Source organism: Homo sapiens, chromosome 3 (genome assembly GCF_000001405.40).
Source record: "Homo sapiens chromosome 3, GRCh38.p14 Primary Assembly".
Taxonomy (NCBI): Eukaryota; Metazoa; Chordata; class Mammalia; order Primates; family Hominidae; genus Homo; species Homo sapiens.
Window position 1 is genome coordinate 105,378,245 of NC_000003.12, and position 16,093 is coordinate 105,394,337.

Below are 16,093 nucleotides of genomic sequence, written 5' to 3' on the forward strand. Positions count from 1 at the left end.
AAATTATATGCCGAAAGTAATATTTTTAAACAAATGATAAATATTCATAATGGAGGTAATGTTTGTATGCACATACTGTAATTTAATGAGTAAAGCAGTTTCTGCCTGGTATTTAGTTTAGATGTTCAAATCTGGGGCACTTATACTTTATTCTGCAAGCATTTTCCCTACCTGGTGATAGGTACAACACTTTCTAAGAAGAATGTTTATGGTGATTTTAAGGTATAGGTTTTATATTTTTGCAGAGATGGTCATGGATCTAAGTATGAATAACAGTTTTGATATCAGATCTAAGAGTAAAATGTAATTTATATTTGGATTTACTCCATTACATAAATCCCCTGTTCCACCCAGCCTCAATGGATACTGGCTAGTTCTCAAATAGTTTTTTTTTTTTTTTTGAGAAATGCTTGTTTAGTATAAGATTAAATAGCTTCTCTGATCATACTAGAATGGCAAATACGTATCTGTTTATTAAAACAAAACCTTTATCCACTCAGCTGTTTTCCTCTTTGCTGTTAGAAAATGCCACCTTTCTAAAAGAGATTATAAAATAGTAAAAAAGGAGTAGGGTTTCAGGGTATGGTTTGGAGGTTATCATTTTCTAGAATCCATCCAAAGTGTTTGGTTAGAAATGATTTGAACTGCTTGAGTAGTGATTTGATGGTAGGCAGTATGGCCGTATCTCCACGGTATAAGAAGACTATTCTCCAGGCTTGATCTTCATGAACTGTCTATGCTCAGAGACTCCAGACTGAAATCTGCATAGCATAGATTTCTTTATATAACAGCTCAAGAGCTTGGGCTATGGATCAGAGCATGAGTTTGCTTTCTAGCTTTTGTCTGTTTTTTCATTTGTTAATTGAGGATAGCAGCCAAGTTCATTTGGTAGGAATATTCAAGAAGGTAATGAATTTATATTATGTTTGTCAGTGCCTAGCACATTGTAGACACTCAACCAAATAATAATCATTATGAATCACATTTTTCAGTAACCTAATAATATCAGTTATTCACATCAGAAAAACTTGTGAAATACTTCATTTTACTGATTGAGAAATATTTCAGTTCCATCTGAATACATTTTGGGCTTCCATAACTAAACTGAAAAGTATATTTTATTAGAATGTTTCATAATCTCAATGAATGTCAAGTAACCTTTCAGTTTTATCATCTCAGGAAAAACAAAAGAACATAATTGAAAATTATAGCTTTAAAATGTAATTTTCCACAAAAAAAAGAGAAAAAAACACGTGTTAAAATTATAAAGACATATGTAATGCACTATATTATTCTCAGAAATTGACATTATTATATGTGTTTCTGTAATTTGAAAATATTAGAACTTAGAAAGAAAAATTTCCGATTGTTACAATGCTGTCATTTTGATAATAAAATTATGATTTTAAATACATTATTTCTCAAGTGTAATTCAATAGAGGGAGCTCCACTGCTTCCCTTTTATGAGCACTGTAGGATGCTTCCATTTATTATGATTTTCCAATGACCTCTAATTTAATAGTGAACATTATTAAAAACCTATAATTTTAATATTAAGGATATTTTGGAAAGTGAATAGTATCCTCTTTCTATTCATATAATTCAAAAAATGCTTCCACAAATAATATGTGTTTTAAAGCCCCAGTTCTTAGTTCTTTGTACCTTTTGCATAATAACTCACTAGACATGATTAAAGTAGGTATACTCTTGAGAAACATACTTTAATACACCAAGGCATCAAAAGAGAAAAAAGTTCATTTCTAGTGATAAAATAATGCATGTTTTCATATTAATTTTGTGGTAGCTATTAAGTTAAAACTGTTATATATTTGAATAGTAGACAAAATCTTTTAAAATTACTCTGCCTAGATTTTTAACCAAATGGTTACAGATTTCCACATGGAAATGGTCTTCTTCCTTTTTTATTTTCTCATATATTCCCTTGATTTAGGTAATCCCAAATTGTATTTTCAAGCTAAATTGATATTCATCATCTTATCTATTATTACTTTACCTTTTAATTTTGTTATGATGAAAGAAGTTGTTGGGTTGATTTTGTTCAAAAATTTATAATTTTGTCAAAAATCCACTAACATGGTTAAAAAATTTAAATGGTTTCAATTTTATAAGACATCTCCTAAGATGTTTCTACATAAGGGAGTTATCCACTCTGTGTGTGACCCTGACAATTCATTTACCTTTTATGAGGTTCATTTTTCTCATGGAAGTATTGTACCATGTGATTTCTTCACAGCTCAAAAATTCTAAGATTCAAAACTATATTTTGATTTAGAAGAAGAATATGCACGCGCACTTGTATGTTTGAGTCAGTGTTGAGCAATAATTTTACCTGAAGTCTAATTAAGGAAAAAAAATTCAATGATGGGCCTCATTTTTAAATTTGAAATGGAAATGATTTTATTACATTCTATAGAAAATTGTATAATATCACACATTAGACCTCCTAATTTATTACTAAAATTATATCAGTAAATGAAATCGTCCAATTCTCTGGTATATTTAAGAATTGTCAACACAGAAACAGATTTAAAAATCTCATATTGAAATTAGATTATCTGTCACGACGGCCATACTGGGAAAGGAGCTTTGTGATAAAGGCCTGTGGGTTCTTCATCACAGTTTTAACAAATCACAATTTAAAATACCTTTTAAAGTAAGTGCCCATTTTATTGTGCTTACTTTCCATTATAGATCAGAGTTTGAGAATATGGTGTCTGTAGCCAAATTGTTTAGTTTTGAAACCTGTGTCTCCTTTCTCCAGTTTCCCAGTTGGGTGGCATTGGGGAAGTTGCTTAAACCCTCTTCTGTCCTAATCTATGCAATGGGAATAATAGCACCTATCTTGTAGGATAGCTGTGAAAGTTAAATGAATTAATACACATAAAGTTCATTAAACAGTGTGGTTGTCAGTAGTAAGCTCTTAAGAGGTGTTAGTATTATTCAAGTATTTAAATAAATTAAATCTCAGTTAATCTTTCCCACTTCCCCAAAATACGATTATACACCCAACTGATTCACATAGATATTATACATAAAGAAGAGAGGCCACAGGTTCAGAATTATAAAATTGCCAGCTGTAGCTCCTCTCCACTCTACCTTTCTTTCCACTCAAAAAAGAGAATCTGAATGAGAGTGATGTCATGTTTTTATGGGGCGTAACCTTGAATCTACTCACTCTGTAAAACAAATAAACCATTCACAAACTCCAAGACTTTATCCATTAATTGTTAGTATCATATTCATTATGTCATAGTTCCCATCTGTTAATGAAACATCATTGCATTGCAATCTTGAGGTTGAAATATAAATTTAAAAGTGAATTTGAAGCTAAAAATGAGATGCTTTGCAGCCTATAGTTTACAGTGTCTAAAAGCAATTGTTTTAGGTCATTAGTGTAAGTAGGCCATAGGTAACTTAGGAGTATACAAGTGACTGTGCTCGAAAGACATTTATGTAGACTCTGTAGATTCAGAGTCTACACAATAATAAAATAGGGCCCAGTGATCATATTTTAAGAAACCAAAAGAAGTAAACATTTTCTAACATATTTCTCAAACTTTAGTCCCTTCTAATCTTTTCTCCCCTCTGCCATCAGAGTGATGTAAGATCTGAATCAACTCTTTTTTTTATTGTCATATTTTATTTTACTTTATTTTTTTATTTATTTTTTCTTTTTTATTATTATTATTATACTTTAAGTTTTAGGGTACATGTGCACAATGTGCAGGTTAGTTACATATGCATACATGTGCCATGCTGGTGTGCTGCACCCATTAACTCGTCATTTAGCATTAGGTATGTCTCCTAATGCTATCCCTCCCCCCTCCCCCAACCCCACAACAGTCCCCAGAGTGTGATCTTCCCCTTCCTGTGTCCATGTGTTCTCATTGTTCAATTCCCATCTATGAGTGAGAACATGCAGTGTTTGGTTTTTTGTCCTTGCCATAGTTTACTGAGAATGATGATTTCCAATTTCATCCATGTCCCTACAAAGGACATGAATTCATCATTTTTTATGGCTGCATAGTATTCCATGGTGTATATGTGCCACATTTTCTTAATCCAGTCTATCATTGTTGGACATTTGGGTTCTTTCCAAGTCTTTGCTCTTGTGAATAGTGCCACAATAAACATACATGTGCATGTGTCTTTATAGCAGCATGATTTATAGTCCTTTGGGTATATACCCAGTAATGGGATGGCTGGGTCAAATGGTATTTCTAGTTCTAGATACCTGAGGACTCCCCACACTGACTTCCACAATGGTTGAACTAGTTTACAGTCCCACCAACAGTGTAAAAGTGTTCCTATTTCTCCACATCCTCTCCAGCACCTGTTGTTTCCTGACTTTTTAATGATTGCCATTCTAACTGGTGTGAGATGGTATCTCATTGTGGTTTTGATTTGCATTTCTCTGATGGCCAGTGATGATGAGCATTTTTTCATGTGTCTCTTGCCTGCATAAATGTCTTCTTTTGAGAACTGTCTGTTCATATCCTTTGCCCACTTTTTGATGGGGTTGTTTGTTTTTTTCTTGTAAATTTGTTGGAATTCATTGTAGATTCTGGATATTAGCCCTTTGTCAGATGAATCAACTCTTATAACTGCTCTGCTTCAAATACTTCGGACACTTCCCAATATAGTCAGGGTAAAATAGTAACTTCTTAATATAGCATTTAAAGTTTTTCTTACATTTCTCAGAACAATTTTTCTTGGAATTCCATGTGCTAGCCATATTTCTAAATGTGCCATGCCCTTCCTGCTTCCTGAGTGGGTTGTTATTCACGTCTCTGTCTTATTCAAGAACACCCTTTGCTTCACACCCTCTCAATCACCCTTTCTTTGCCTGAATAACGTGTATCCCTATCCTTCAGAACACAGTTTATATGCCATCACCTCCAGAAATTCTTCCCTGATCTCTCTAAGGTGCCTGTCCTCTGTAGTTCCAGAGTTCATTTCATGTATTGCCTATTCATTCTTCTCTCTCTCCCTTAGTGAATTTTTATATTCCTGGAGGCAGGAGCTGTGTCTACTTAATCTTTTTTCTACCCAGCGTCTACTGATACATGGTACATTTTCGGTACACACCCATGATGATTGAATAAATGCATTAGTCAAAATTAGATTTCTTAGTCTACTGATACATAGAACTTTCTCAGTACATACATGACAATTGAATAAAGGCATTAGTCAAAATTACATTTCATAATTATCAATGAAGCCTATTTTAAACAACAACATATAATGTTGTATGAATAAGAAATATCTACATTGAGAAAATTGTTCAATTTCTTTTAAAAATTGAGGGAATGACAACTCTCCTAAAATATGGTCCTAAAAAGAATTTGCCTTATTCTACCCATGCTATGCAAATTGAGTGCTAAAACAAATGGAATAAAGTTAGATTTCTTCTGAGTGCCAATCCAAGTTAACATAAGTACTCTTCTTGAGTTTCCATATTGAACATAGTCTGTTCATTAAATGTGAGATCATCCTGAGAATTATAGAAATTTATTTAAACTAATTTATTTTAAAAACTGTAGGTTTGTGAAGATACTAAAACTACTTTTTCTCCCACAGGATAATTGTAGACATACATTCAAAATAGAAGTAAATTAATGGTAATATTAGTTCTTCTATTTTTAATTAATAGATTAAACCTTTGGATCACGGCATTTCTCATAATCTAGCAGAAATAATATAGAAAAGACTTCATAAGCAGATTGATCAGTCACGCAGGCAGTATTTAACATATTTGTACCACTGAAAATACATCTGTACTGTGGACCATGTCTTGGATGCTTTTGAGAGTAAAATATTAGAGAAAATTTGGAGAAAATCTGGTTTTATTTTTACAAAACTATTGACTATTGAAAGAGAACTTTAAAATTCAGTCACTAACTTAACAAAATTATATAAATTTGAATGATGTTTCATTTTTACTGAAAAATAAACCTTGTGCTCTTGAAACCAACATATCATTTTGAGAAATAAGTCTTTACTGATAAAAACAGTGCAGAATTGGATTTATCACAGATCTCATTATTCAATGGTACTTAATAGCTGAGAACTTAATAGTTTTAAGTCTGGTGTCACTTCTCTGGACAAAATAATCTTAAATTCTTATAATCTTTCAACTTAAGTCCTTTTTTTATAAGCTTTGTTTTATTTCCTTACTTTACTTTTGATCCTTCCCAGTCCTTCAGAATTTTAACTTCTATATCATGGTTTTACTCTGCCAATTCCCATATTACCTTCCCAATTTACCTTGTTAGTAAATTTTTACTTCTTTGGTCTCTGAGGCAAGCTGTCTTCTGAATTCTTGCCCAGAAATTCTAAGACTTTTCTAATATATTATTAAAAATACTTGTCCAGATAAACCAATATAAATACAACACATTACCACTGATAACTCTCGTTTATTAAATACCTGCTGTACTCCATGTAAAATAGTACTTTACGAAAGAATGGCTAATATATTTGTATAACCAATTTTAAGTTTAAAAACTGTGACTCTTTTTTAATTTTTTAAATTATAAATTGTAATCTCACTTTCAGCCTTTTAAATATAGGACTTTGAATGCAGTATAGTTTATGTATCAAGAAGTAGCCAGAGCAAAGACATTATCAAATAAAGCCAAGTAAACAAGACTTTCTCTTTGTTGAAATATATAAACCTAATTGGGCCATATCAGTGATCAGTTAAGATTCTGGATTAATCAAAGAGGCTACATGACAATTTTTTAAAAAATCTTTTCTATTACTTGAAAAAATGTCACCCATTTCTAAGACAAATACTGTCTAGTTCCTGGATTCTTGGCATGTAATCTAGGCTTCACGTTCTTGATGTTGTCACCCAACAAAATAATCTTTCCACAAACATATAAAAATATATGGAGTTCTCAATTTTCCATGGAAATAGAATCTAGGGTTAATGTGGTGAAATAATTTTCATTATTAACAAGCCTTATTTTAGTATATGTAAATAGGATTAGATTGAAAAGCCAAGTTTTATAGTAAAAGATGTGATTTCTGTAAAAGAGAGTATTCTGTAAAAGCTGGAGGACAAGTGAAGCTTAAAGGAGCAGCTTGTACTGATGAGAAAGGGGAGAGGAATGAGTGGACCTCTCTTCAGAGAGGAAAGAAAGATAAGATGAAAAGCCAGCATGAAAAGGAACTTGCTATTTAAAATTACAACAAACTGTTTATGTGGACCAGTAGCATCATGATGTAAAATAAATTTTCTTTACTGCTTTGCCATGACGCTTAATTGATAATACATTCTAGTAAGCCCAAATTTGAATCTCTTCTCGATAACTAACATTCAGTTAATTTCTTATTTCGAAGTGGGAAGAGCAATGGCTGGAAAGAAACTTCCTACAGAGAAATTCTGATGCAAATATGTCTTGAAATCCAGAGCATTTTGGTCCAAATTTAACAATGTGTGTCAAATTTTACAACAGCAGATGTGAATTTATGGTTCTTTATTAAGTTTTAGGAATTCTGAATTGTATTTGTCTGCTTAATTCTATAGTGAAACTAAAGCTCAGTTAAATAGTCTAAAGAATGTTACTTAATAGTAAAATTACATAAATATGCCATGCACATGTTGGCTTTCAACAGAGTGCATTTGAATATATTCAGATCTGTGGTGGGTGCTGAAGACTTGTCTATATAGGTTCAGTTCCATAACTGAACCAGTGAGAATCTAGAAAACCAGTGTTTTCAAAACTACTCCCTCATGGGTGAATGGAGCACATACTATTGAATGATCTGCTCTAAACTTAGGCATTGGTGGGCCTGAAATAAGACTTGGGCAGTGAGCATCTGCTTCTCTTCACCCAAAGAGTTGACCTTCCAAGACTATAGAGGAAGTTAAAATTAAGAAATGAGTATAAGAGAGACACAAGTAGGTGACTTCTCAAATTCTGAAAAGGGAAGTTTGGGTAAACAAATCTGAAGGAAGAAGAAATTAATATTAGAAAAGCAGAGTTAGGAAGACAGAAGTGAATCAGTAAAATGTCTTTTGTTAGAACAGGTGCTTCTACATCTGTTTTGAATCAACTGCACAATGGTTTATGCATGGGCCAACTGAATAGAAATACTCAAGGCTGGCATAAATGGATTTGGTTCCAGTTACAGATTTCTTTGTTTTGTTTTGTTTTCAAAAATAGAGCCCAATTAAATCCATCCTCATTGGTTGTAGACATTACCCTAAATGTCTAGTGTGTGCAAATGTTTCTCTATACCCTACCTTCCTATCCCTATTCCCCATGGGTCCCTAGCATTAGACCCTGCTTCCTGACAGTCTAGACTTGGGCTTGTCATTATACCACCATAAATTAGACCCTGCTTCCTGACAGTCTAGACTTGGGCTTGTCATTATACCACCATAAATATATATATATATATCTGTAATTGTTTCCTTAGTGAATTGAAGGTTTTTTCATTTAAAATTAAATTTGTGTGGAAAGTATATTCTTTCCCATCAAGTTAGGAATATTTAAAAGAAGTATACATGTTAGATGCAAAGCGCTAATTCAGGAATGACCAGATAACTAGTATCATTATATTCTTTTTCCAAGTATATTCCCCAATGTTTGGAATGCTGTTCTTTTGATCTTAACTCTTTCATCTGAAAGCACCCATCAAAGGTTACATGAGCAAATTACCCAATAAATGTTATTTTTCCAATAGTTTCAGCCTCACCCTACTTAAAATTATATTGAATGTTCGTGACAGTTCAAATTGACAAATTTTCAGTTTGCCTCTTCTTTTTACCCCACGTTATTCTCCAAATAGAAATCTTGAGATTTTTTCCACAAGATAAATCTTTAGAATAACTGAGGACTAATTATATGTTCCACAGCAGTCTGTAGTAGTCTCACAGGCTGAGCGTCCAAATGAGGTTGCTGCTATAGGGAAGGGCAGGCGGAAATAGAAATAAAATAAATAATCCTTCCCACCCTCACACACACACACACACACTCACACACACAATCAAGAAACCATCAAACAAAGCTCAGAAACATTTCAAACATAAGATCATCTTTTACTTTACTTTTTTGTTGCATGTTTACTTTGCCTTCTGGAAATATTGCACAATCTATTAGCTTTTTCTCTTTAGATGTTTGAAGGATACAGAAGGTACTACTAACTTAAAAAAAAAAACATTGATTCTCACAGCAGAACCTGTGTGTACTTGTTCACTACATACCTACATTGTTAAATATAGTTGCTTCACAAACAATACAATAAGAAAGAATTTAAGAAAACAGATTCTATGTAAATAGTCTGCGTCACTAACTCTATTATTTAGTGATTAAACGGAAAAATATTTAGTATTGAGTGTTGGTTCATCATTGTTGAATCAGTAACGGTTACCAGGATCATTGTCAAGTTAATAATTGAGACCAGGAACTTCCTTCTTGCTGAGGGCTTTTAGTAGTGATCAGTGGCAGAGGGATATGAAAGGCTGGAGAAGAAAACAGGAGACCCAGTCCTGCCTTTACCAGCAGCCCTGAGATTTTGGTTAATCACTTCATATTTCTGTTCTGCTTCTTTGCTTATACAATGACATTAGGCTACAGCTGAGTGGGCTCCCTTCCGTGTGGTTGTGAGACTTTATTCTACTGCCAAATAAAAATAATATTTGCATTATCTCTTTTTTTAATATTTGCACTTTTTTGTTCTCATCAGTATCCATAATGAAGCACTAAGCATGTAACATTTTGCAGATTGAGATTTCCCAGTCACCATGCACCATAAATAAAATAATTGAGACATAGGAATAAAAATGCATTACAGTATAAACAAGCAGTAACAGAGTGTGGAAAATAAAAAGACAAGGAAGTACAACCTCTCCTCTGTTTAACACTGAACAAAATTTTTGGGAGAGTATAATGTTATATTTATAAATAGAGCAATTAGATTTGGTTCAGAGAAAAGAAAATGATTAAACCTATAGAATACAGTTGTTGTAAAGAAGGGAAAAGACCTGGAGAAGGAAGAAGTAAAAGGTGAATTAATAGCTGTGATGAGAACACTGATCCATGATTCTTCATCTCCACAGACGACTGTCCCACAACAAAAACAAAACAGCATGCAATTGCTGAAGGAAAAAGCTAGTTCCTCAAATTTGAAATGCTACTTTTGAGGAAGACTCAGGGACTTCTACCTCTTAGAGTATTACAAAATGTTATACATATACCATACTCCAAGCAGAGATGTTCTGCTGTCTCTTTAAACTTAGTTTAGTATAAAAGGATGGTAAATTTGGTGATAAATTTAGTAATAAATGCAACATTTTTCTTATCTGTAACTTAATAGGAATAAACTAATTTAAGATTCCTTCTGTTTCAAATTCTTTATGATTTTTTATTTTGGGGATGTTGGACTTGAAGCTTCACTAAATATTCGGTTATAGAAATACTTTTCTAGGAAAACTTATTAGGGTTAAGAAACCAGATATTTTTCTTTTAAAAAATATGTAATTCATATATTTTGAACTTAATAATTAGATTCCAAATGGTCCTAATCACACCCTGTGGATCTTTAGCTCTTGAGGATTCAAAACTATGAGATTTTACAATCACGTTTTAGATAGTAAAGATTGAATGAGTATGTTAAGGCTTTCATGAAAGAAAAATGGAAGAAAGAATAATTGAAACAAGTAACTTAAGTGGTGGGCAAGTAAAATCTGTAAGCCAATTTCTTTGTCTGTAAAATGAGGAGAATAATAGTATTTATATGAATTCTTTGTTGAATGAACAAAGTGAGATAATTTTTGGAAAATGATGAGCAAAGTGAATGGCAAGTAGAACAGACTTCAGAAATGTTAGCTATTTATTATTTACACAAGAAAAGTGGAAGGTATGGTGTACTAAATATGACAAATATGACACATTCAAACAGAAAAGAGGAAAAAATTTCTGTTATGTAGAAAATTATCCCACTACAATTTTCTTTATCCTTATTTATTAAAAATACGGGATGAAAGTAAGAAAGAAAGATACGCAAAACAGTGTGTGGTATGTTTGCTTAAAACGGAATGTGTTTTGAAACACACAAAACCATATACCTACTTGTATGCTCATATATACATAGTTTTTTTTTTTTTTTTTTTTTTTTTTTCTAAAAAACACACAGGAACCTTAATAATGGGCTTCTCTGAAAGGGAGGCCTGCGAATATGAGATAGGAGGGAAGCCTTCTTATTTTTTAAGTATATGCTTTATCTGATTTGAATATTTATAATGTGTACATTATTTTAAAATAAACTACTAGTGCAAAATTAGTATTATTTTTTATTTTTTACATTTAATTTTATTTTAAGTTCCAGGATACATGTGCAGGATGTGCAGATTTGTTAAATAGGTAAATGTGTGGCATGGTGATTTGCTGCACCTATCAACACATCATCTAGGTATTAAGTCTTGCATGCATTAGCTGTTTATCCTGATTCTGTCCCTCCCCCCTACCCCCTCAACAGGTCCCATTGTGTGTTGTCCCCCTCCCTGTGTCCATGTGTTCTTATTGTTCAGCTCCCACTTTTAAGTAAGAACATGTGATGTTTGGCTTTCTGTTCCTGCATTACTTTCCTAAGGATAATGGCTTCCCACTTCATCCATGTCCCTGCAAAAGACATTATCTCATTCCTTTTTATGGCTGCATAGTATTCCATTGTATGTATGTACCACATTTTCTTTATCCAGCCTATCATTGATAGGCATTTAGGTTGATTCCATGTCTTTGCTACTGTGAATAGTGCTGCAATGATCATACCTGTGCATGTATCTTTATAAACAGAATGATGTCTATTCCCGTGGGTGTATACCCAGTAATGGGATGGCTGGGTCAAATGGTATTTATGGTTCTAGGTCTGAGAGGAATCACCACACTGTCTTCCACAATGATTGAACTAATTTACATTACCACCAACAGTGTAAAAGCATTCCTATTTCTCCATAGCCTTGCCAGCATCTGCAGCATCTGTTGTTTCTTGATTTTTTAATAATCGCCATTCTGACTGGGATGAAATGGTATCTCATTGTGGTTTTGATTTGCATTTCTCTAATGATTAGTGACTTTGAGCTTTGTTTATATATGTTTGTTGGCTGCATAAATGTCTTCTTTTGAGAACTATCTCTTCATATCCTTTGCCCACTTTTTAATGGGGTTGTTGGGTTTTTTTCTTGTAAATTTCTTTAAGTTCCTTGCAGACCCTGGATATTAGACATTTGTCAGATGGATAGATTGCAAAAATTTTCTCCCATTCTGTAGGTTGCCTGTTCACTCTGATAATAGTTTCTTTGCTGTGCAGAAGCTGTTCAGTTTACTTAGATCCCATTTGTCAATTTTTGCCTTTGTTGCCACTGCTTTTGATGTTTTGTCATGAAATCTTTGCCCATGCCTATGTCCTGAATGGTATTGCCTAGATTTTCTTCTAGGGTTTTTGTAGTTTTGTGTTTTACATTTAATGCTTTATCATCTTGAGTTAATTTTGTCTGATGTATAAGGAAGGGGTCCAGTTTTAATTTTCTGCGTATGGCTAGCCAGTTTTCCCAGCACCATTTATTAAATAAGGAATCCTTTCCTCATTGTTTGTTTTTGTCAGGTTTGTCGAAGAGCAGATGGTTGTAGATGTGTGGTGTTATTTCTGAGGCTTCTGTTCTGTTCCATTGGTCTATGTATCTATTTTGGTACCTGTACCATGCTGTTTTGCTTACTGTAGCCTTGTAGTGTAGTTTGAAGTCAAGCAGCATGATGCCTCCAGCTTTGTTCTTTTTGCTTAGGATTATCTTGGCTATATGGGCACTTTTTTGGTTCCATATGAAGTTTAAAGTAGTTTTTTTCTAATTCTGTGAAGAAAGTCAGTGGTAGCTTGATGGTAATAGCATTGAATCTACAAATTACTTTGGGCGGTATGGCCATTTTCACTATACTGATTCTTCCTATCCATGAGCATGGAATGTTTTTCCATTTGTTTGCGTCCTTTCTTATTTCCTTGAGAAGTGGTTTGTAGTTGTCCTTGAAGAGGTCCTTCACATCCCTTGTGTGTTGTATTCCTAGGTATTTTACTCTCTTTGTAGAAATTGTGAATGGGAGTTCATTCATGATTTGGTTCTCTGCTTGTCTATTGTTGGTGTATAGGAATGCTGCTTATTTTTGTACATTGATTTTGTATCCTGAGACTTTGCTGAGGTTGCTTATCAGCTTTGGGGCTAAGATGATGGAGTTTTCTAGATATAGGATCATGTCATCTGCAAAGAGAGACAGTTTTACTTCCTCTCTTCCTATTTGAATATCTTTTATTTCTTTCTCTTGCCTGATTTCCCTGGCCAGAACTTCCAGTACTATGTTGAATAGGAGTGGTGAGAGAGGGCATCCTTATATTGTGTCGGTTTTCAAGGGGAATGCTTCCAGCTTTTGCCCATTCAGTGGGATATTGGCTATGGGTTTGTGATAAATGGCTCTTATTATTTTGAAGTATGTTCCTTCAATACCTGATTTATTGAAGGGATGCTGAATTTTATCAAAGGCTTTCTCTGCATCTATTGAGATAATTATTGTGGTTTTTTTCCTTTAGTTCTGTTTATGTGATGAATTACATTGATTGTTTTATGTATGTTGAACCAGCCTTGCATCTGGGGATGAAGCCAACTTGATTGTGGTGGATAAGCTTTTTGATGTGCTGCTGGATCAGTATGCCAGTGTTTTATTGATGATTTTTACATCAGTGTTCTTCAGGGATATTGGCCTGAAGTTTTCCTCTTTTGTATTTCTGCCAGGTTTTGGTATCACGATAATGCTGGTCTCACAAAATGAGTTAGGAAGAAGTCCCTGTCTTTCAGTTTTTGGAATAGTTTCAGAAGAAATGGTATCAGCTCCTCTTTGTACCTTCAGTAGAATTCAGCTGTAAATCCTTCTGGTCCTGGTCTTTTTTTTTGTTTGGTAGGCTATTTATTGCTGCCTCAATTTCAGAACTTACTATTGGTCTATTCAGGGATTCCACTTCTTCCTGGTTTAGTCTTGGGGTGGTGTATGTATCCAAGAATTTTTCCTTTTCTTCTAGATTTTCTAGTTTATTTGCATAACGGTGTTTATTGTATTCTCTGATCGTTGTTTGTATTTCTGTGGGTTCAGTGGTGATATCTCCTTTATCATTTTTTATTATGTCTGTTTGATTGTTCTCTCTTTTTTTCTTTATTAGTCTAGCTAGCAGGCTATTTTATTATTATAATTATTATTTAAAAAAAATAGCTCGTAGATTCATTGATTTTTTTGAAGGGTTTTTTTATGCCTCTATCTCCTTTAATTCTGCTCTGATCTTGTTTATTTCTTGCCTTCTGCTAGTTTCTGGGTTTGTTTGCTTTGGGTTCTCCAATTCTTTCAGTTGTGATGTTAGGTTTATGATTTGAGATCTTTCTAACTTTTTGATTTGGGCATTTAGTGCTATAAATTTACCTCTTAACACTGCTTTAGCTGTGTCCCAGAGATTCTGGTACACTGTCTCTTTGTTCTCATTGGTTTCAAAGATCATCTTGATTTGTGCCTTAATTTCATTATTTACCCAGGAGTCATTCAGGAGCAGGTTGTTCAATTTCCATGTAGTTGTGTGATTTTGAGTGAGTTTCTTGATCTTGAGTTCTAGTTTGATTGTAGTGCAAAATTATTGTAACAACAGTATTACTACCAAAATTGTAGACAAGATACATCTTCTCACATAGTAATTTATTTATTATGAATTGAGAAATTAGGAATTTTGGTTATAGTTCCTATGAAACTTTAGGATAACAGTTGTGCTCATTTTTATGTGTTGCTTGTTTCTTTTCCCCGTTAGGCTTGCGAATTTTTTTCTTATTTGTTACAATAAACCTACAAACATATTGAAATTAAAATGATCTTTCATTTTTATTGCCATTCTTATATTAGTCTATGTTTAAGTTAAATCACATTTAAGATGAAGTTGCATAGTTTGCTTCTTGATTGATGTTTTGAAGTGATTTGCAAATGTAACAATGTAAGCCTAGAGGATATCTACTAAAAAAAAAATCACCCAAACATACAGTTAACAGAAGTGCAAATATTCTTCAGTAGAAATAAATTTATACATGTTATGGCGAGCAAGTATGAGAAGAAAACATACCATAAGAGGAATTTAAATTTTGTATCAATAATTTTTTGACACTCAAGATTGTTGAACCACACTTAATACAATGGATTATTTTAAAAGCTGTGGCATAGTATTTCTGGAGAAGTATTTCCTAAATTCTTGTGATCCAGATAATTAGACCACAACCAAATTAATTTTATAATGGCATATACTTATACTCACTCTTAGAATTCACAATAGAAATGAGCTTTGCTAACTCCTGGTATAAAGAAATTGTTTACATTGTTTAACCTTATGTCTGACTTGAGACATTTGGAAAACCAGCATTTGGAAAGCAGTGTTTTGAAGTAAAATATACTACATGAATGAAATACAGTGTCTAGATTTAGGACTATTTGATGTCTGGTACCTTCTATAACCATAATTCTTCATTATAAGTCAAAATACAACAGAAGAACAAAACAAATAAATACAAAAAGCCCTATTATTTATTTCCATGAAGATACATGTAAGTTTTCCACATGATTTGGAATTTATATTATCTAAATTTTTATTTTAAGCTCACTCAAATATAGATAATTGCAAATTTGGAAAAGCAGTCAGTAATATCAAAATACTGTTATTTTGTGCCTGTGTATTTTTACAAAATATTTCGAGTCCATTCTTTCAAGAGGTTCACATCAGTATTCAAGTACTATGGTACTTTCACTAGTAGCCAAGTACTATAGTACTTTGACTAAGTATGGTAACAGCCTGTAAGCCTCCTAAAGCTGAAAAGATTAAAATTTTATTCTTAGACAATTGAATCCACTAATACAAAATAATTTAAAGTAATCGGTTAATTTTGTTTACTTCGCATTTTACTTTGCTATGTGTTTCCCTGACATATGACTCACTACCTATGTATGTCTGTGTCTGAGAAGGACATACATAGCTACGCGGAAGGGACATGCGAGGG

At 33.1% G+C, this 16,093-nt stretch overlaps 1 protein-coding gene across 4 annotated transcripts in view; it reads left to right on the plus strand.

The window, feature by feature from the left end:
* Positions 1 to 16,093, plus strand: part of ALCAM (activated leukocyte cell adhesion molecule) — a 209,992-nt gene that overhangs the window by 11,336 nt on the left and 182,563 nt on the right. The gene's annotated exons all lie outside the window — the stretch shown is intronic.